Here is a 23,896-nt window from a genome sequence, read left to right on the forward strand (position 1 = left end):
GGCAACTTGACATTTATACTTTATCATCAGTCCTCTTTGAAAGTGGATTGGTATCAAGCTAAGGGCTTTCCAAACTAGTATTGTGAAAATAGGACAGAAACAACCAGAGCCAATGAGTCAATGCATTATAACTCACAAAGCTGATTTGATATGAGGCATGAAGATGACCACGGCAGGTATAGTTCTACCTTGCCACTGCTGGAAATATCGTCTTTTATGAAATCCCAAATGGTATAACTTGGGTTACCCTTGCATGTGGAATGTGCTGGATATTCACTCTGGTTGTTTCCCATTCTAACCTTGATGTTTGTTTTGTCTTTCTAACTTAAACCCTGAAATGCTAGATGTTAGCTGCATTTAAGCTTTTAAAAGTACTTAGGGTACCATCAGTGCAAAGAAAAGACTAACTAATAATGAGTATGTGGGTGTGGCCTCAGCACAAACAAATCTACTTTTACAAAAAATAATTTTACACTTTATGACGAGTATCTCACATAATTTTGAAGATGCTTGCAAATAACCAGAGCTAACACCTGTTCTATATGCAAAGGGTAAAGAAAAAAGGCCAACCTCAATCGGTAGCTCTAGTTAGCAAAGAAAAAAGCAAAGATAACCTGTGCTTCTACAGTGTCTTCTACCCAGGAGATCTCAAAATGCTGGACAAATACTCATTATGACTGACAGCAAGTGCATGAGGGGGCATAATTAGAGTTACATTTAGGGCTTTCTTGGGGACAAGAATAACTGTCAGAGTATTGGGTTCTGCCTTACTGTCTGATGGACTGTAATTCACTCTTCCTTCCTGATAACTCATTTTTCATTTGTATTAGGAAAAAATATGAAGGTTAAAATGTCTATTTCACTTTTAAAGAAACCTGGCGACCTCTGGCCTGTCAGAACAGGGATGTATCTTCTGCATCTGGAGTGGTCTTTGTGGTTTTGACTTGGGCTTGTCCAGGGTGGTCTGAGGTGGTCTATTTGCCACACAGACTGGCATGTGTACCTTATATGAGGAATAGGAAAGGGTATCCAGTGTTATATGCTCTTTTCTTCCTTCAATTTTTGCATACAGGATTATGTCATTTTCATGAGAATTTCCAGGGTCACAAATTCCTCCTGCACAAAACAAAAATTTTAAGTTGCTAGTACCAACTAGCATCCATAAACATATCAAATATAGTGTTAAATTTCAGAATGAAAAATCATTATAGTACCCAGATGTCACTTAAGAATAACCCTAAACAAAGGTAAACAGACTCAAGGAAATAATTTATAACGATAGTTCAAGTAGGCCATGCTAAAGATCAAAGACTTGACATTTGTGAAGGCCAAAGTAGCTATTTGCTTCATGAGATTACTCAAATAATTGTCTACTTTGAGCAGCAACTACACGTCCATGTTCTAACCCACATTAAAAAGATGTGTTCTGCTTTTTAATAAACTGTTATTTCCTTAATTTGAGGTTTTTATGACCAAAGTTCAGAACCTGTTGGTTATGGTTTTAAAACAAGGGTGATGACTTCCTGCATCAAGGAATTCTGAAGTAGTGTTAGTCAAACTGTTGCACATAGTATCTTTAATATTTTAGCATATTATTTGTACTTTAAATGCAATTTGTTTTACATTTTTCATTTTTATATTTGGTACCTCATTTGATTGTTAGAAGGTACATAGAGTATTTTATTCTCTATTACTCTACTTTATAGTCATGGAAAACAATATGCCATTGAAGCTGAAGAGCAATTAAGATCATCTTGATGATGGTACTGAATGACAGAGCAGGTACTTGAAGCTAAGATCATGTAACTAACTAGTGGAAGAGCCAGGGGTACATGTATGTCTTCTAACCTATTATTTTCATAACTGCATTCCATCAATAATTCTTTTTAAAATATTTTATTTTGTAGAGACGGGGTCTCCCTATGTTGCACAGGCTGGTCTTGAACTCCTGGGCTCAAGCAATCCTCCTACCTTTGTCTTCTAAAGCATTAAGACTGTAGGCATGAGCCACCACGCCTAGTCCCAGTCAACAATTCTTGCTACTGTTTGCTTCTATTAACTGTCTGTATAACCTGAATATTAAAGGATGACATGTCTAACTAGAAGCCTCTCTTAAGCCACCATTATCCTTCATAATAGTACCAACCAAAACAGCTGGGACTATGGGCATGTATATGTATTTCCTGGCAAATATTCTATCCCTAAGTCCCCATATTTATAACACTAACTTCTTTTTCTTTTATTACTGTCTTTCTAAAATTCCTTCAGTTCCTAAATCAACCACCATCAGTGTTAATTTTTATCTACAGGCAATTGCTGTTGCTAATACTCTCTGGTGACAGTAAAACAACATCAACATTCTAGAATAAAACTACCCTCTGAGAGTTAATCTAGTAAAATACACAAATAATGGCTGAGACTTAGCATTTGATATTAAATAAACTAAGAAGAAAGTGTCAATTGTTTGTAAATGCCTGGGTCAAACTCGACCTGAGTAATTGGGTCTGATCTTGGGGAGAAATGACTGATATGTGATATTAAGCGGGAAAGCTAGAACTGAATTAGTACAATAAACTTCATGAACAATAGAAGGAATATTAGACAAAAGTAGATATCAGAGGGCAAGACTTTCATAGGATGTCCATACACTGGGTAGGAATAGAGAAGTCCTTAATGACCAAGGCAAATCTTGAGGATTCATTTGCAAAATGTGTCCCACAGTGGAACAGGATGCATCAGGCTATCATAGTTCTGGAACCGCTGCCATTAAAATTACTGGGTGATATATATCTTTTTTGATCCCATAAACATTGATTATTCCCTCATGCTTAGCAGTTAAATTTCCATAGTCTATTGATGAGAATTATGATTTGTTCATAAGCCTCCTCTGAGCTTAGAGCATGAGTCAGTCTCCAATTTGTCAGCTCTGGAGTAATTAAGAAAACTCATTTTCTGAATCTATAAACCTGAGACCTGTACAGTTGACTGCAGTAACCTCATTAAGGTCACCTATGAGGCCCATTCTGATTGGCCAGGTGTCTTCTCTATATGACACATCTTATTTCATCTCCCGCAATGCAACAACTTTTGATGACCTAAATTAATAATTTAAATAACAGATGATTTATATTTGGCTTTGAAAATACACTATTGGAATTATGTTGTGCAAATATTCCTAACTAAATTGTCCTAGGTGAATTCTAAAATTATTTGGCATATCTGAGTATACATCAGTTGGAAGCAACCCAGGAAGTTGGCTTGATGGCAGAAAAGCTAGTGTCTGACTTGAAAACTAAGCCCTTTAAGACAAACTGGAGACAGCTGTAGGAATCTGGGGGTGAGCCTGTTACTAGAGTTTCTAGCTGAGCCAGGGAAGGAGAGAGTTTAGCACACATTCTCACCCCATTGGTGTGCTCCTAGAACAGCTCAGTTTATGGGATAGCAGTGAGTTACAGGGTGAAGCCATGGTCTGAAAGGTTTTACAGGTAGATCAAATTTTCTAGCTCATGACACACTGTTTTTATGTTTGAGTCATTTGTGAGAAAATCGCCCAATAATTTTGTTTATTCCCAAGGAAATTTGTGGGTTTTTGTTTTGACAAAGAGTTGATGTTGCAAATGGTGGTTGGTACTGTATGGATCAGGGTTTCTTTTGGAGCCAGACTCCTTCAGTATTATTAATAATAACATAAGGGTAAAAATGCCTACTTTTCATTAGATACTTACTATGAACCATGCACCATGTAAAATCAAGTACAAGGATTATCTCTTTTCGTCCCTTAACAACATTTTCAGGTATATAGATCCACTTTGCTGATAGTGAAACAGAGGCCAAGAAAGGTTATATAATGTGCCCATAGTCCCAAAGTAAAGCATGTCTTTAATGTTATTCTGTTTGACTTCAAACCTTTACTACCACTCAATAGGTAAGTCTTGGAGGATGGTTTTTGCAAAGCATTGAAATCTGGCATGCTACACATGTTAGGCACATGTAATTTGGCATATAATAAATATTTACTGGATTAGGTAATTTGAACTGAGAATGGAGAAGTCAAGTATGGTGACAATGTATATCTCATCCTAATAATGTTTACTGTTCAACAACCTGTGGAGAAAAATCTTATGATTTTGACATTTATATCATATATTCAAGCATTTCCTTACATGCTTCAGTGTTATGATAAATACAGCTACTAAAGCCATTGTAATTGATGGTCTCTGGAGAAAAAATCCACGTGAAAATGAAATTCCTAATAGAAAACAAAACTTTTAAATTGAGGATTATATATAAATACGTATATATGACAATATATACATATAAGGATATTTATAATTATATATTAAGGATTTACCAAAAAAGGACAAAAAAGGTGAATAATCACAGGCAGTGTGGGTTTAGTGCACCATACCTAATGACGCAGGCACTGAACTATCAGTTTTCTCTAATTTCATTCATCTGTTTTCTGTAACTTCTCTCTGCTCTCTTAAGAACAGTTCATGAACTGCATCTGCCCTTCAGAGATAACTGAAACACACGTGAGAGCCACACCCAGCCCAGAATGGCAGAAGAAAAAAGTCCTAAAGGAGCCAAGACTTTAAAATGATGACAGATTTTATCTGAAAGATTCTTCCGGGAGCAATTTATAGTTCTGTGAAGTGTCAATGACAGCAGCTTCTACAGGGAGATATGGATTCTTCTTCAGCTTCATAGCCTTTGGCACCTTGTGGAAAGGTGTGACTCAGAGGCATCTTGTACAGAAATTAAGGTGCAGGAAGATTTCAATAAAAACAAACGGGGCAGTCAGTTTTAAAATATTTTAAATATTGTTTTAAGTCATTTTTAAAGAATAATAATAGGCAGTAAACTGTGTTGTGCTGCCCTAATTGCAGTAAAAATTCAGAGAAAAGGGTACAATGTGAGCTAAAAGAGCTGGGCATATAGCAGATGCCTAGTAAATATTTGTTGGAGGAACAATAAACAAATACACGAATGAGTTGATGTCTCTTAGGTTATTTTTTGTCTAATACACTGCATTCTGGTTCTAAGAACAGTGCTCTGTACTGGTCCTCAATGAATGTGTTGAATACGTCAATATATGAATAAAGAAAATAGACGTTGAACTGAACTTTGAAAGTTGAGCAAGTTTTCCAGAAATATGCTCACAGCAGACTGATGTGAACCAAGGGCAGAACATATAGTCAGGGCCTGAGAGGGAGAGACTGTGATGTAATCCAGATTAACAATCAGTCTGATTTTCCTAAGGTACTGTATTTAGTGAGGGGCTACTTATAACTATCTCATTCTAAATCTCTTTCCATATGGCTTTATCTCCCATCAGCCAAGAAAGTTTTAAAGTGTTTTCTATAGGTCCAGTCCTATCCTATCTATCCTGCCCTATCGTATCCCACCATATTCCATCCTACCATAACCTACCCTATCCTTACTCTACCCTATGCCACCCTACCCTATCCTATCCATCTATCCCATCCTAAAAACACCTTTCCTGGGTGCTGCTGTTCCCTCAAGATCTGGCCACCATTTCTTTTCTTCTCTCTACTGATAAAACTCTTGAAGTAGCCATCCTCCTCTTTCAGTGACACATTTTTATTTTTATTTTTAACTCCATGTATTATACTTGGGCTTTCCAGGCACCACACCATTGGGGAAACTCCCTCCAAAGTCACTGGTGGCCTCTCAGCCCTTATCCTGGTTGATCTCTCTCTCTCTCTCTCTCTGGCATTCCTTACACTGTTGATCATCTCCCTGCCATTACCCCCAAACCACTGTCTTCCTTCCTCCTGTAGGCTCCAATGACACCTTCCACCCACCTCTGTTTATGTTCTTTCTCAGTCTCCTTTACTACTATTTTCCCCTCTACTTATACCTAGATGAGGGTTCTCCCTAAGAATTGTTTGTCTTATGCTACCTTCTGCTTGGGAGAACATAGCAGTTCTAGTGGCTCCAGTTATCACCTGCATATGGATGATTTTCGAATCTGATTCGAATTCTGAATAGAATTTCTCCCTTCATATGGCATTCCAGAAACCTGATCTTAACATAAGCAACATCAAAATATTCTATTCCACACTTACTCTCTTATACATATATTTCTTTTCTAAATCTAGCAACCCTGCCCTAACTGATCTCTTGCCCTTTAATTTCTGATTATTTCAATCTTCCATCATACTCCTGCTAGAATTACTTTTCTAAAACACAGGTGATAATGTAATGCTGAACTAACAGGAATTTTCTGATAGCTCCACACTACCTAGAGAAAGAAAATCCAAACTCCTTAGTAGGAATTAAAGAAAACACTATTCTGGTTCCAATTTGCTTTTCTAGTTCCATCTTACGTGCTTCCACTTATCTATATTGGGAAAATCACCCAGCCCCAAACATATGACATACCTTTATTCTTGTGCCCTTTTTTCATAATGGCTTAGCTTGGAATTCTCTTCCTTAAATTTAAATCATGCCCATCCTTCAAGGGTGAGTTCAAATGCCATCTCCTTCATGAAGCTTTACCCTAATCCCTCCACTGCAATTACAGCTTCCTCTATACTCTCATAGCATTTCATTCCATTACAGCACACTGCATTCTACCTTATAGTCAGATGGTACTTGTGGGTGGGAACTCAGATTAATTTTTATATCAATAACAACAGAGATATACTGAGTCTAAATATTTATTTGGCAGTTTTGAGTGCTTTTCATACATTAACTCATTTGACCAGCAACTCTGTGATTTAGGTGACATTATTCTCCCCATTTGTATTCTCCATATATCCTGGCTTAAGGCTCTATATTCAGTAGGCATTCCTTACTGTTTTAATTGAATGAAGAGGCTTTTACTTGGGATAATGTACTTCTTTGGGCTCACTCAAATCAATTCCCCATCATAGTAATACTGTTTTAATTCATTGATTAATAATATGCTTTGTTCCAGAAAAAATTAAAGATTAATCTTATATAAAGACAATTATATAAAGGAACTTATATAATGATGACTTAATCTCATATAAATCACCAAATATGGTTAATTTATTATAATAAAATCAAAATATGGTATGAAATACATTGTGTCAAAAATGGGGAAAAGGGAAAAAACTTAAATTAGGCTGGCATACTAAATGTTTATTACAACTTTTTTGGAGGAGGGCTTAAGGTTTTCCAGGAATCCCTTTTGATAAAATGAGAGCCAGTTTGAATTCTAATTATGTAAAGAAAATGAGCTCTGGGCCTTTAAATAGACAAACCAGTTCAGAGTGAAGGTGAGGTTGTCCTTAAATGTGAGACTATATTACTTTATTTTATATGCACAATTTCTCTGTTATCAAACACATAATTATGGAAAATGAGTTAGCATCACATAGGTAATATGCTTGAGAGCATGATACAATCTGAGGTTTCCCATGCAACCCTGAGCTGTATGATTATCAAAAAGGTGAAGTGAGGAATACAAGAGAAATAAATCGTCAATGCTGAAGTTAGACTCAGGAGATCTGTTTGTCCTGATGAACTGACATCTTTGCTAGTAAGTTCAAAGGTAGACAGTGTTTATTTCCTGTTTCACTTCCAGATATTGCCTGTGCTTTTCCAGTCACTCAACAAAGAAGGCATGTGACACCTACTCACATTTCTGGAATGACATCAGTGAGAGAATATGTAACTGTGGCTCTTGTTGACTAAAAGGATTAACTTTGGAGGTCACAAAGTTCAACCTTCTAACTCCTTTTTGGGTAATTTTCCAACTATCTTTATTTGCTCTACAATACTTTGAAGAAAACTATAACTTATGAACACATGTTTTTCTTAATGTGTTTGCAAACATATTAGAAAATAGAGAGTATTATTAAAGTATTAACCTAAATTTCTCAGCTTCCTACTACAAAAGAGTTATGCAATGATGAGATATTCATGAAAACAAAGGCTCACCTTGATGACTATTTTTGGGGGGAAGCTGGGAAAAAGAAATCGCTTTGTTTTAGCTTATCTCTCATTGTCTTTTCAGCTATGACCATGGAGGGAGAGGTGGAAGGAAGGTATTATGGCATTTCTTCTTCAGGCCTCATCATGGCAAGCCATGACTAGATCTCTTTAGGTTGGCTCCAGCGGGGCTGGCCTGAAACACGGGGGAGTACCACAGGCTTCTGCTCTGTCTGGAGAGCTCACGTTTCATGAATTTTCATTTTACGTAGTTGACAACAAACAATCTTACTTCCTCAGGAATAGGTGCTGGCCTAGGATTTGCCCCACGGTGAACAAAGTTTGTGAAAATGTACTTACCCATCACAAAGTAAAACCTCAGGTTCCCATAACCGGTAGTGTCCATGGATGGAGTGCATAATTTCCTCTCTCCATCTTTGAGGAAGACCATTGATAAGCCTGATTCTATCGTTCCACATTCTGTACCAATGACAGCTCCCAAGACATCCCATCTAAAAAAAAAGGGGGATTAAGAGTTAGAGTTAGAATATTAAGCCAAATCTTTATAAAGAATAACATTTAGTTTTTAGTGAGGGACACTTACTTACTTAGTAATGAATAATTCTGAAATAAAGATATGGCACTTTATTTAGGCAATGATTAAACTTTAAACACAAATTTTAGGTAGTGAATACACTTTAAACACATTACATTCACAGTTATAGTTTTCCTGTAGAGGGATGAATTTAATCAATCTTGTATACGGTGTGTCTACTTGTGATCAGAGCCATGCTCCAGACTGAGATACTTTTCATTCTTTAAGTACTTATAGTTGAGTTGGGAAATCAATGAACTAAGGAAACAGTGAATTATAAAAGACAGACTCATAATATAAATACTTGTATGATGTTTTACCTATTGAAAATAGTAATAAAATGAAAAGTCATAAGAATTGGCAAAAGTCTAGCAAGTTTTCAAAAAGGAGATGGGATTTAAACTGGGTCTCATCAAACAGGTAATTGGATATGTAGAAGAGAATAAAAATAGCTGGCTTTTATTGAGTGCTAACTACCTGGCCAGATCCTTTTCTAGGGCCTTTACACATTAAAGTCATTTAATTCTCACAGTGACCCTATGAGGTAGTCACCATTACTACCCCAATTTTAGATGAAGAAACTGAGATGAAGAGAGGTTAAGAATGACTAGCAAAGGAAGAGGACAGTATTCAAAGCCATGCAGTGTGACTCCAGAGCCTATGCTCTTACCACAGTTGCATAATGTGTTGACGAAATCACATGACTATAGGCTAAGAAATGGGAATGACCAGCAGGCATGGTGGCTCACACATGTAATCCTAGTACTTTGGGAAGCCGGGGTGGGCGGATCACGAGGTCAGGAGATTGAGACCATCCTGGCTAACAGGGTGAAACCCCATCTCTACTAAAAATACAAAAAAATTAGCTTGGTGTGGTGGTGCATGGCTGTAGTCCCAGCTACTCGGGAGGCTGAGGCTGGAGAATGGTGTGAACCCAGGAGGCAAAGGTTGCAGTGAGCCAGCTGAGATTGCACCACTGCACTCCAGCCTGGGTGACACAGCGAGACTCCGTCACAAAAAAAAAAAAAAAAAAAAGAAACGGGTGACACTATTAACAGTGCAGAAATCAATAGACCTTGGTGGAGGATGTGTGTTAGGGGAGAGTAAAAAATACATTTGAATAGTACAGTGGAACAAATCCATGGAGAGTTTGGAAAGAGGGGAGTTCAGACTCTATTTAGTAGACACTCAGTGATATTTCTAAACTGCATACATGATTACATCTCTCCTTTGTTTAAAGTCTTTCAGGGGCTCCCCCATTGCTATCTGGACAAATTCCAAGTTCCTTAATGCAGAACATGCAGTCCTTCTTGGCCTGGCCCAAGAACATTTCTAGCACAATCTCTCGCCTTGTACCATGTCTCTTCTGCCTTGTACCCAAACTCTTTTGCCATACAATGTGAATTCAAAGTCACTAAAACATTCTGTCAGCCCTCTGAATCTTAACTTTTTGTCTATCAAACAAACTCAGGGTCATTCTTTAAGATGTCCTTGAAATATCAAACACCTTTCTGTACAGTCTTTCCCAAACTTCCTGGCTCCTCCTACCCAGCCCCACCACTCCATCTCAGACTGTTAGATTCTTCCTTTGTGATCTAATTTCTCCCAGTACACTGCCATTGTTTCTTTACATGCCTTTCTTTATTCCTGATATGTCAGCTCCTAAGACAGGATCTGCGTCTTATTTTTGTGTCCTGAGACCCTAGCACAGTGTTCAATGCCCAGCAGATCCTCAATAATTCTTGTTGAGCGATGGCGGGATTAAGGGATTCCATCTTCAGAAAATAAATGAAACCTGTAGAGTTTCCTGACTGTATCCTGTCCTCACTTTCCTCTGCTTTCTCTAGTCACATCCTTGCCCTGTCCTCTGAGACAATTCATGCCATTAGCACAAATTGGCACAAACTGGAAAGCAGCCTTTTCAATTGGCACATTGGGAAACACCCTCTTCTTCTCCCGACCACACGTCAGGCAGGTCTGACCACCACTTCCACTCAAAGTCCCCTTGTACTTGTACTTAATGCCTACTGCTACTATTGCTGCCAGGCTTAGGCTTTGGTACTGAATCAACTTACAGTCATAGCTCTGATGGTTCAGCCTCCTCTTCCCCTTAGATATTTGCTACACCATCTGCCTGTCTAGATCCAAGCCCTGCAATGACCACCTGGTCTTTAGCTTCTCTGTTGGCCTAGGTTCTAGGCACACACTTTAAATGCCCAAAATATTCAGAGAGGTTTTCAGGTTTAGATCTCTTTTAAAGATTCGCAGGCCTAAATGGATGGTCTTATATAGAGGACTGACCTCTATGGCCCCAGGTGCCTGTTCCCTTACTCATACTCTTTCTCTACCCTTGCTACCAGTCTGTCCGATTCCTTTTCCCTCACCTTTTCAAGGCGGACCCATCTGTTGCTACCCAAGTCCCGGTTGTGTCAGTGAGAAGTGAAAACAAAGCAGAAGGTCAAAGACAGCTCCATGGTTAGGGGAACACGTATTTATAGCACACCACATTCAAGAGGACTCTGAAGCTAGTCAAACAAAAACCTTCCAATACATGTTGGCTATAACAGAAGTCATAAACTGGTGTTTGGGGGAATGACCATAAACTTTTGATAGACATTTAGGTCATTTCTATCTTTTTTGTTATTATTAACAATGCTATATAAAAGGTCCTTGTGTGTTTACATATGCATGTGGGAATTTCCCCATCAGCCTTTCTTAACTGGTGTCTGTGAGAGAAATGAGTCCTAATGCCCCAAGGCACCCATTATATTAGTGAATTGCTTTTTCTCCTTTGTCTCTAGAATCACAGGTGCACCAGCTTTAGGAGAATTGAGGGCATAGCCAGATCATTTTCTGTGTTCTGGGGTTATCACGAAGGAATCTCTGCTGAGAAAGGCTGGTAGAGTATATATCTAGAAGTGGAGTTGCTGGGCAACGTGGTACTTCATTATTGCTCTTCAAAATTGTTGGATAAATTTATGTTTCCACCAGGAGGGTAGAAGGTTCCTGTTTCCCCACAAGCTTGCCATCACTTCATTTTGTCAAGCTTTTAAAATTTGGCCTATTAGATGATTATGAAATTTTATCTCAACTTTGCATTTACATGATTAGTAGTGAGGCTAAATATATTTTCATGTTTATTGGCCAGTTGGGGTCACTCTTATCTTGAGTTGCCTATTTATGTCCATTTTGTATTAGGATCACTCTTTTCTTTCTCTCACTTTCTTATGATTTGAATTCTTTATATATTCCAGGTAGTAATCTTTTCTTGACTATCTGTATTGTACTTTTTTTCACTTTGTTTATGTGTCGTTGGATGTATGGATGAGTTTTAATTTTAATATAGTAGAATTTATCTATCTTTTCTCTATGCTTTGTGCCTTTTTTATCTGATTCTCCCTTACCCTCAAATCATAGAGATACTCGTCTATATTTTCTTCTAAAAGTTTTAAAGCTTTGCTTTTCACATTTAGGTGGTTTTAATGAACCTGAAATTGATTTGAGGTAAGGAATGAGTTTGAGATCCAATATGGTTTTTTCTATACAGATAGGCATTTATTCCAGAACTGTTAACCGTTGGCCCTAATTATTGGTAATGCCACTTCTGTCACATAACAATCCCCTATAAACGTGAGTCTGTTTCTACAATTAACTTGCCTCTCTTTTTTCCTCCATTAGTCTATATGTCCATCTCCGTGTCCAAACCAATTTAAATATCATACATATGGTGTGTGTGTGTGTGTGTGTGTGTGTATATATATATATATATATAAAATCTGTATATGTAAAATAGCTCTTGATAGCTGAGCTCCCTCTGTCCCTCAGCCACACCTTTCACTTCTTCACAATTGTCTTGGCTACTGTTGCCCTTGTTAACTCTTCCTAATGAATGTTAGAATCACTTTGTTGAGTTCTATTAAAAACCCTACTTGGATCTCGACAAGAATCCGATGTCTCTTTAGTTACTGATAAGAAGTTATCTATTGAATTGTTGCTTCTTTGTAAATAATCTTTCTTTCTCTCTGGTTGCTTTTTTGTCTTTGGTATTCTAAAATTTTTCTGCAGTGTATGTAGGTATAGGTTTATTTTATTTATTCTATGGAAACTTGGTGTACCTTGTCAGTTTGGGGATTCAAACCTTTAATCAGGTCTGGAAAAATGTAAGTCACTATCTTTTCAAATATTAACTATCCTCTATTCATTCTATATTCCTTCTGGAAATTCTATGGGACCTGTATTGAAATGTCATATTCTATTCTCCGTGTCTCTCACTCTCTCATTAATCTTTATTTCTTTTTATATTGCATTATGTGTTTTTTTCTCAGATCTGTCTCTAGTTCAGTATACTAATTCTCTCTTCAGTTGTTTCTATATTTTTACCTTTATAGTTAATACTTAATTTCTATCACTGTATTTTTCATTTTAAAAAGTTTTCTTTGATTTTTTTATTTTTTATTTATTTATTTTTTTTGAGAAATGGTCTTGCTCTGTTGTTCAGGCTGGAGTGCAGTGGTGCAATTCATGGCTCATGGTAGCCTTAACGTCTTGGGCTCAAGCGAACCGCCCACCTCAGGCTCTCCTCAGAGTAGCTGAGACTACAAGGAGGCACCACCATGCCCAGGTAATTTTTGTATTTTTCCTTTTAGAGATGATGTTTTGTCACGTTGCCCAGGCTGGTCTGAAACTCCTGGGCTCAAGCAATCTACCGATGTTGGCCTCTTAAAGTGCTGGGATTACAGGTGTCAGCCACTGTGCCCCACTTCTTTGATTCTTTTTAATATTTGCTTGTTCTTTTCTCATAGTACCCTCTTCTTTCAAAATGACTTAGATTTAAAAAATCTTTTAAATCATTTAATCATATTTATCTCATATCTCTCTTATCTCAATTGGAATGCACTTATTCTTCTGTTTGTCATATCTGATGACTGTCCTTTTTGGTGAATCATAAAATCACACAGATCATAATTCTTGTTGTGAGCTCAACTTTAGTGGACTTATTTCCAGTGTTAATTTTACACACTTTGTGTAGAAGAAATATTTTTACAAAGGGGTTCTGCATTTGCGTTTGTGAGCATCTTGGAGGTTCCCTGGTCCTGAATTTCTTTTTACATTAATTCCTCAGTTTAGAATTTTCCCACCACCTGGGTGGAATGAATGTGAATTTCACATTTGTTTGGAGTTTCCATTCTTCTGGGAGATTTTTTTTTTCACACTTGAATCAATGAGAGAAGTTGTTATCCTAATTACTTCTTTATGGAGAAGGAGCTCTTCAGGGTCCCGTATTTATACAAGAGTATCAGTTCTATCTGTCATCTGCCAAAGATCCTGTGTGAGTATTTTTAACTCTAATCTTCAGCCTTCGATTACATATGTTCAGTCCATCCTGAACTGCCTAAGTTTCAGCTAAAGGCTTATTACTCAGGTTTTTAATTTCCCTTTGTTTTAGGTATCTGCTCATTTCCTCCCCTATCCTAGGGCTACATATTGAAGAAAATTATCATACTTGATCCAACATTTCTATGGATTTGCAGAGGAAAAGGAATTGCATGAGCTCAGCCAGCCTTGTTGTCACAGCTTCAAATTTTCAGCTGGCTGATTACTATTAGCAATGATGGGGAACTAAAAGAGGTAAGCTAATTAGTTCATTTTAGGCTCTCATTTAATTATGTCATCAGGAGTGTTAACAAATTAAAGGACGATGTCATCTTTCAAATCAGCAAGCTTCTCTTTTAGAGTAGGTTCAATTTATTTTAACATGTTAAATAATCAATTTTTAAATGTAGTCTGGTTATTAACTTTTTTCTTGTTTCTAAATATCCTTGGTGACTTTATTATATAAAAAGCAATTTTATAAATAAAAACAATTGTTAGTTACTGAATATTAATAATTATCCTAAGGCATGAAGATATGTTTCTTTTCAGGAAAATAAATATAATGTTTATTAGCCATAATTTCTTCATCCAAAGCTTATATATCAAAGTGTCTCTAAGCAATATATTTAAGCCACAGGCTGAGTTCTCAATATATGGACAGTAGTTTTACTAAATTTCATTAAGCAGTCAAACTTTGTTGGAAGTCATGAATATGCAAACAGAATTACAGCTATTTTAGGTAAAATGTTTAATCATTCTAGTTTTTGAAAACATGTATATTTATTCCTTGCACAAAGTTTATCATGTATGCTTACTTTAGAATTAGTTAATTCTATTTTCAAAGCAAAGACTATCCAGGGAAATAATTTTTAGGAACACCAAACAAATAGCATATATCTATAATATCACACATTTGGCAACAGATATCAAAGGAGATATGTGAATTATTTTAAAATACATTACAGGCTGGGAGTGGTGGCTCATGCCTGTAATCCCAGCACTCTGGGAGGCCAAGGTGGGCGGATCACTTGAGGCCAGGATTTCAAGTTCAGCCTGGCCAACATGGTGAAAACCCGTCTCTACTAAAAATACAAAAATTAGCCGGGCATGGTGGTGCACACCTATAATCCCAGCTACTTGGGAGGCTGAGGCATGAGGATAGCTTGAACCTGAGAGGGGGAGGTTGCAGTGAGCTGAGATTGCACCACTGCACTCCAGCCTGGGTGACAGAGGGAGACTCTGTCTCAAGTAAAACAAAAGGTATGACATATAATTATATATGTATAATTGTATACTTTGTATAATTTATGAGAGAAGCTTGATACTTTGATCTTGTGTTTAATATTTAAAAAGTTGAAATATTTGACATTTTAAAACCAATTTCTCTTTAATTTCTTGCCATGTCTAATTTGGCCTTTGTTATTCACACAATTAACTGGTCTACATTTGGAAGAAACTGGGACACACAAGGGTAAGTGGCTTGCCTAAGGCCAACCACCTGTTCAGCTCTAAAATTTAGATCTTTTCTTTCTTGATTTGCTCTGATTTTCTTACAGTTGTAAAAAGGATATTATGTATGCCAGGATGATTAGGTTGAACCATCCCAGTTTGTAATAGATTTGGGACAAAAATATTAGAAAATTCTTTTAAAAAAATTTTAACAGATTACATCAATCATTCAAGGAGCAAGCACATGGAATAGTAACTTTTTGAAACAGCTCTTAATAGTATTGCATCATTCGCAAATTAACCAGGAGCCTCTCTTGACGCATACATGAAAATTTCACACTGGTTCATTGGTCTTTTGCTTGCTCCATTTATCCCAATTAAACCACTCAGCCTACTGATCCACAAAGCAAGTTAAGGTTATAAATGATGCAGATGATGACTCCTTTTTGATATCTATCTGCTTTAGAGTATTATTAAAGTGAAAAATTAAATTGAAAAAGAATTTTCATGGACTAAAAGAACCTTCTATTTAAGTGAGAAATGAGATTAGTAGTCTTTTTCTTTTATTTGTCGTAAATGAAAAACTTTTCTAGATTAATTTAAATGAGTTATTATCACTTCTACCACAACATTGTGTGAGATATGATTCAGACCGTATAATAACTTTTAATCTTTATTTAAGTCTGACATATCCATTTTTTTCTCTCAATTAGGTTTTATTTCTCCCACGCTAACTGTTGGAAGATAACAAAAGTGAAGTTACTTCCTTTAGAAATCCAAATATTTATAATCAAGTAAAATGGGAAGTTTAGTCTACTTTGAAGAGAAAAAGGCAGAGATAAATCTGCTTTACTGAATTTTTACAAGATTCATGTTTTGCAAAAGTCCTGTTGCTTTGAATAACTTACTTTGCATTTATTAAAAATTCAGGAGGAGCCTGTTATAGCACAAGCTCATTCTTTCATGAATTTGTGTAAACACTGGCTCAAACATGGTTGGAGGCCAAGTATCCTTAAGGAGATCCCAGAGCTCTATCAACTACTGGGGGACTTCAGGTAGAGTCTTTACTCCCCGGACTTCAAAGTCCCAATTTACAAGGTCACAAAGTTGTGGTCATTTCCTGTTACAAAAATTATATAGTTCCTGACTCTCTCCAAATATAATAATTACATGAAGTAAAATTATAATATAACCAAATCTTTGAGACCAGTAGTGGTTATTTGAGGAGCTCTATAGTTCTGTCAACATCTCGGATGGCATGGCAATTTTCCTCCAAAGGTATGTTACTTCTCTGTGGTTTAAATTATGCTTTCCCCAAGGAAATGCAGTTCTATGTGAAGTGCATTTGAAGGAATGTCTGCCTGAGGGAGAGAGCTCTCTACAATGCAGCAATTTATATTTATTCTTTTATGATTAATTCTAAAATTAAAAAGCCCTTACCTTATTTATTATAAATACAGTGGTATCTATTATTTATTACAAATAGAGTGAGGTGAAGTTGGAGCACAGAAAAAGTTTTCTAATCAATAAAATGCCTTAAGGCAACTCTGTTCCTTAGAGATAGCAAGGTCACAATAATATTTAATTTATATTTTTAAAATAAGGTTTTCTGTTTTTTCTGCCATTAAAAGAGTAATATTTTTGTAAGCAAAAAATAATGTAAAGAGGTGTCTTAGCTGGAAAGCTGATGGTCTTCTCTATCAGGTGTTTTGGAATGCTTTGTAACTAGGATTAATTATATTTTAACCAGCCCACACTTCAATACTTTTAAGAATGATATGCATTCTTGGTAGGGTAGCTTGGCAATAACTATCAAAACTGAAATTATATACCTACATAAGTATGTATATGTGTGCATACACATCTGATTATCTAGTTTTCCTTTTCCTTTTAGGAACTTACCTTTCAGAAATATTTTAACAAGCACACAAGAACGTTTACTACAATATTCTTTGTCTGTCAACATGGGGTTCAGTTAGATTAACTGGCCTTTGTGAAATAATGAAGGTCTATATTTATTGACTAGAAGGGACTTTCATAATATGTTAAGTTTTGAAAAATCAAGTTGAAGTATAATATGCAAAATGTGATTCTAGTGTTTTGCGGGTTTTTTTTTGGTATCATCATAGAAAAATTTCTGAATGACTATATGCCAACAGTTTAACAGTGAAGAATGGGAATTAGCATGGGGGGGAAATTTTAGACTTTTACTTTGCTCATTTTCTTTGCAGTAAGCAAATAATTTCCAGGAAAAAGTCAGGCATTCAGTTTATATGAATTATAATTCAGAGTGAAAATTTAAATTATCTCATTATAGGTTGATGAAAATATTAAGAATATGAACATAGGAATTAGAGATATAATATCTTAGCCAGATCCTTTCCCTACTAATATTAGCATAAAAGTCACTAAACGTAATGGAACATTTCATATTTTCTATGAATTTTTAATTTATATTATCCAGAACATATTAAAACACCTAAAGTTGGCAACTTTAAGTATGAACTAAGATCCAGAATAAAGCCTGGCTATAAGATCCTATATTGACCAAATTCATAAGGTTTTTAAAAAATCTCATATAAATTCTCTGAGGTTGAAAAAGTTCATTACATTTATAAGGTCTATATTTGGGATGGATGCTCTGCTCTTTAATAAGGGATGTGCCATAGGTGAAGACCTTCCACATTCATTTATATTCATGAGGTTTATCTCTAGTACGAGTCCTCTGAAGTCTAGCAAGATGTATACTTTGAATGAAGCCTTCTCCACCTATCGTTGCATTTATAGGTTTTACCTCTAGCAGAACAGCTTAGGTGAAGGTAAAAGGATGAGCTCAATTTGAAGCCTTCCCTGAATGCATTACATTTCAAAGATTCTTCTCTTCAATTGGTTCCTCTTGAATTTAATTTTGTTTTAGGTTTTTATGACATGCATGTTTATTTACACTCTCTTTGGAACAACACTAATAAAGAATATTGGGCTTCAGAACGGTTAGAAAGCACCCAGCTTTCTCATTAATAAGACACTAATATAACCTAGACTAGAGATTGTTTAGAGAAAATGATGTATTGCCTGGGACATTACAGAATCTCAATAAATGTTGGTTTCCTTTTCTCCTCCCGTAAAATGTAGTGATATTTTCATTTTAAAATAAGTCAAAGTGGTAATTCAAATGAACTTCTAAATTATAATGAGTGTTTTTACTTTTTTCATGCTATAATTAATAAACAACCTTAGATGAAGTTGCAGTACAGTATGCAAAGTGTTATTGCTCAAGCAATCTTTAATCAAGGATATACTTAGCAAAAGATAAACTGTCTGCACTTTATCTACCTGTAGGTCTTTAGCACTGTTTAAGATTTTAGTTACAATGTATCTGGGCTCCATAAATTTATTATTTATGTTATTTAAGTGGTTGTTTTACTTTAATAAAAGTGAACATGACTGTAAAAACAAAACTCACTTAATATAATGTTAACTCAGACTGCCACACTACCTTCAATTCATTTACCTTGAATTGCAAGCTTACATAAAATCCCTCTATAGCCTTATGAGCATTTTGTGAAAATATTCTAAATCAGAGGTAACAATTCATCTGGATAGGATGAATTAAAATTTTAGTTTAAGAGGGGATAATTTGTGGAAAATAAGATGCTTAAACTGTTCCGAAGAGCTCTAAAGAAATTTCAGCCTATTTTTAATAAAAGTATCAACTTACATCAAAAGGGCTACAATGGAGATTGTTCTTGTTGCTCTATATGCAAATTTGTTTTTTCCTGGTAATGTGTTAGATTCATTGGTTCTCTCTCTTGGGAACAAGGATAGGGAGTCAGTTGCTGCATTCTGGATGCTCACATGGACAGTTACTATGGGGCTGGGGGCCTATTAACCAACTCAAGTATGGCAGTGCCAAGAGCAAAGATGGCGTGGAAATGTGCTGTAAATTAAAGAAGGGCTCAGGACTTCTATGAAGGAGCTCCAGAACAACTCCGGCATAGAGAACTTACATACTTGTCATTTGAAAAATTACTGTTTTTATTTTTAAATTATAAAAACAATTAGCCTAAAAAGAAAGCAATATTAGCACCTAGGTCAAAAGAAAATCAGAAAAAGGAGGAAGTAGTACATCTCTTTTAACAGCTTGCAACAAGTTTACCCTGATCCATTTTAGCACTTGTGTGGTTTTTAAGCATATCCAATTCTTTTAATTAATATTTTTTTTCCCAATAATATATTTCTTGTTTAGAGAATGATTGAGGTTTCACTGGCTATTTAACTTTGTGTTTAACCTTTTATATCTCATTAATTAATTAATATTAGCATAATTTTCTTTTGAGCACCACTTTGGCCATATCATATTACTGATAGTGATTATGTTTTGAATAACAACTAATTTTTAACTTGTTTATTATGTGCCATGCTTTATGCAAAGTGCTCTACATGTACTGATGCATGAAATATCCCTTTTTGGTCTTTTAATGCTGAAACCTGAATTCTATCTTATTTTAATATGCCTCCTTGCTGCTTCTGTTACATTTGTCTGGTATATTAGTTCCTCTTTGACTTTCTATTTCTTTGGTTATGTTAGTTTAAGTCTCTCATAAGGGCAAATATACAGCTTATTTTTCAAAACTTACTGTGAGAATCTCATTTAATAAGTGAATATAACTCACTCTAATTTATCACATTACTGGTATGTTTGAATTGGCTCCTGACAAATTGTTTTCTATTTTCTATTTACCCTGTATTTTATTGTTTACTTTTTCCACTTTCCTGACATTACTGAACTGTCTTCTTTGTTCTAATTTTAACCTAATGCTTTAGAAGTTATATAACCTCTATCTGGCTTATCTATTTTTTAACACACATATTTATATTTTATTTAAAGTTTTCTATTAACATTAAGAGTTAACCAAGATCTACAGTTTCATTCTAAACAGGTTAAGAACTTGGGCAGTATTTTATTTCCTTTTTCTGTTCCCTTTCCTGTCAGCCACCTTCTATACTTTTCATGTTGCAATCTTCTGCGTTTTAATTCCAAGTTTTTATTAAAGTTTTCAAATAATCCATACTTATTTAGACTGAACTAAAAGTTTTACTTTTTTACTTGTTTACTACTCTTTCTTGAATATCTCATCTTCCTCTTGGATTAGTTTCCAGGAATGTATCTTGCAGTAAATCTTTCAGAGAGGGTGGTAAACTTTCTGAATCCTGTGTGTCTATAACAGTTTTTGTTTTTTCCTAATACTTGATATTTGGCTGGAGAAGGAATTTTACAACTCACATAATTTTCAGAACTTCAAGATAACTGCTTCCTTTAAAAAAATGCTTAATGCTACCAAGGAAAGTACAATAAATCTTACCTAGAGGGTTTAGAATTTTCTTTTATTGGTGTTCTAAAATTTCTCCCTGATTATCTAGGACTGGCTACTTTTCCATTCATCTTGCTAAACACTTTCACTCATAGCCACTATACCTTTCTCCTCCTCTTCCCTGCCCCTCCTCCTCTTCTTCCTCCTCCTTCTTCTTCTCCTTTTTTTAATCTTGGGAACTTCTCTCAATTATTTATTTGAATATTGCATTCCATGTATTCCTTCTGGCTTCTTCTTTAATTCCTGTTTCTAATGTTGGAAGTGCAACTTTCTCTCCATACTTAACATCTCTTTTTCTGTAATGAAGTAACATTTCAATACTCAAATTTCCAGCTCACTAATTTGTTATTTAGCTCTGCCTATACTGATATTCAGGAAAAAAATCCATTAAACTTGTTTCAACAATCATATATTTCCATTTCTCGCATCTCTAATTGTTTCTTCCTCATAAAATTTGTTCTAATTTCACAAATGCAGTGTACGCCCTTATCCTGTTGAGGATATTAATTATACTTGTTATACAATCTCTGTTGGTTTAATCTGTTACTTCCTTTTACTTATTTGATTCCTAGTCCTTTAGTTTAATGCTTTCTTTTTTCTTTTTTTTTCCCATGGAGGTGGTTTTCCTTAGATTTCGTGATTTAGATTATTTGCTTAAATTCATATCTGCTATTCTCTCTTAGTTTCAGTGGAAAAAAGCCCACTGACTGGGAGCAGATGTGCCCTTGGGTGAGGATTCCCATGAGGGCACAGTGCCCTGCTTCTCCATTCCTCATGTCCGCATTCATTGCTCGTTCCTGGGGGGCAGAAGTCTCTGCTTAGAAGTGGGTGTACTGCTGCTTTGCAAACCGAATCTAGCAGCACATCAAAAAGCTTATCCACCATGATCAAGTTGGCTTCATCCCTGGGATGCAAGCCTGGTTCAACACATGCAAATCAATAAATGTAATCCGTCATATAAACAGAACAAAAGATAAAAACCACATGATTATCTCAATAGACACAGAAAAGGCCTTTGACAAAATTCAACAGCCCTTCATACTAAAAACTCTCAATAAACAAGGTATTGATGGGACGTATCTCAAAATAATAAGATCTATTTATGACAAACCCACAGCCAATATCATACTGAATGGGCAAAAACTGGAAGCATTCCCTTTGAAAACTAGCACAAGACAGAGATGCCCTCTCTCACCACTCCTATTCAACATAGTGTTGGAAGTTCTGGCCAGGGCAATTAGGCAGGAGAAAGAAATAAAGTGTATTCAACTAGGAAAAGCTGAAGTCAAATTGTCTCTGTTTGCAGATGACATGATTGTATATTTAGAAAACCCCACTGTCTCAGCCCAAAATCTCCTTATGCTGATAGGCAACTTCAGCAAAGACTCAGCATACAAAATCAATGTGCAAAAATCACAAGCATTCCTGTATATCAATAATAGATAAGAAGAGAGCCAAATCATGAGTGAATTCCCATTCACAATTGCTTCAAAGAGAATAAAATACCTAGGAATCCAACTTACAAGGGATGTGAAGGACCTCTTCAGGGAGAACTACAAACCACTGCTCAACAAAATAAAAGAGGACACAAACAAATGGAAGAACATTCCATGCTCATGGATAGGAACAATCAATATCATGAAAATGGTCACACTGCCCAAGGTAATTTATAGATTCAATGCCACCCCCATCAAGCTACCAATGACTTTCTTCACAGAATTGGAAAAAACTACTTTAAAGTTCATATGGAACCAAAAAAGAGCCCACATTGCCAAGACAATCCTAAGCCAAAAGAACAAAGCTGGAGGCGTCATGCTATCTGACTTCAAACTATACTACAAGGCTGCAGTAACCAAAACAGCATGGTACTGGTACCAAAACAGAGATATAGACCAATGGAACAGAACAGAGCGCTTAGAAATAATACCACACATCTACAACCATCTGGTCTTTGACAAACCTGAGAAAAACAAGAAATGGGGAAAAGATTCCCTATTTAATAAACGGTGCTGGGAAAACTGGCTAGCCATATGTAGAAAGCTGAAACTGGATCCCTTCCTTACACCTTATACAAAAATTAATTCAAGATGGATTAAAGACTTACATGTTAGACCTAAAACCATAAATACCCTAGAAGAAAACCTAGGCAATACCATTCAGGACATAGGCATGGGCAAGGACTTCATGTCTAAAACACCAAAAGCAATGGCAACAAAAGCCAAAATTGACAAATGGGATCTAATTAAACTAAAGAGTTTCTGCACAACAAAAGAAACTACCATCAGAGTGAACAGGCAACCTATAGAATGGGAGAAAATTTTTACAATCTACTCATCTGACAAATGGCTAATATCCAGAATCTACAATGAACTCAAACAAATTTACAAGAAAAAAATAAAAAAACCCCATCAAAAAGTGGGCAAAGGCTATGAACAGACACTTCTCAAAAGAAGATGTTTATGCAGCCAACAGACACATGAAAAAATGCTCATCATCACTGGCCATCAGAGAAATGCAAATCAAAACCACAGTGAGATACCATCTCACACCAGTTAGAATGGCAATCATTAAAAAGTCAGGAAACAACAGGTGCTGGAGAGGATGTGGAGAAATAGGAACACTTTTACACTGTTGGTGGGACTGTAAACTAGTTCAACCACTGTGGAAGACAATGTGGCAATTCCTCAAGGATCTAGAACTAGAAATACCATTTGACCCAGCAATCCCATTACTGGGTATATACCCAAAGGATTATAAATCATGCTACTATACAGACACATGCACACGTATGTTTATTGAGGCACTATTCACAATAGCAAAGACTTGGAACCAACCCAAATGTCCACAATGATAGACTGGATTAAGAAAATGTGTCACATATACACCATGGAATACTATGCAGCCACAAAAAATGATGAGTTCATGTCCTTTGTAGGGACACGGATGAAACTGGAAACCATCATTCTCAGCAAAATATCGCAAGGACAGAAAACCAAATACTGCATGTTCTCATTCATAGATGGGAATTGAACAATGAGAATACTTGGACACAGGGTGGTGAACATCACACAGCGGGGCCTGTCATGGGGTGGGAGCAGGGGGGAGGGATAGCATTAGGAGATATATCTAATATAAATGATGAGTTAATGGGTGCAGCACACCAACATGGTACATGTATACA

General features: G+C 36.0%; 1 protein-coding gene across 2 annotated transcripts in view, besides 1 other annotated feature; it reads right to left on the reverse strand.

The window, feature by feature from the left end:
* Window positions 1-23,896, reverse strand: part of RELN (reelin) — a 517,870-nt gene that overhangs the window by 181,301 nt on the left and 312,673 nt on the right. For both annotated transcript variants that reach the window (NM_173054.3, NM_005045.4), the window contains exons 12-13: window positions 8,287-8,438; window positions 1,004-1,116 (exon numbers count right to left, since the gene is read on the reverse strand). In NM_173054.3, the coding sequence (NP_774959.1) occupies window positions 1,004-1,116; window positions 8,287-8,438 (265 nt within the window). The remainder of the gene's footprint in view (window positions 1-1,003; window positions 1,117-8,286; window positions 8,439-23,896) is intronic.
* Window positions 7,512-8,711: an enhancer, noted in NCBI's record as "MED14-independent group 3 enhancer chr7:103301048-103302247 (GRCh37/hg19 assembly coordinates)". NCBI's record gives its function as "activates an origin of replication core promoter dependent on BRD2, BRD4, P300/CBP and CDK7 cofactors, and independent of MED14, by STARR-seq in HCT116 cells {active_cell/tissue: HCT116}" and the evidence as "EXISTENCE:reporter gene assay evidence [ECO:0000049][PMID:35650434]".

This window comes from Homo sapiens, chromosome 7, assembly GCF_000001405.40.
Source record: "Homo sapiens chromosome 7, GRCh38.p14 Primary Assembly".
In the NCBI taxonomy this organism is placed as follows: domain Eukaryota; kingdom Metazoa; phylum Chordata; class Mammalia; order Primates; family Hominidae; genus Homo; species Homo sapiens.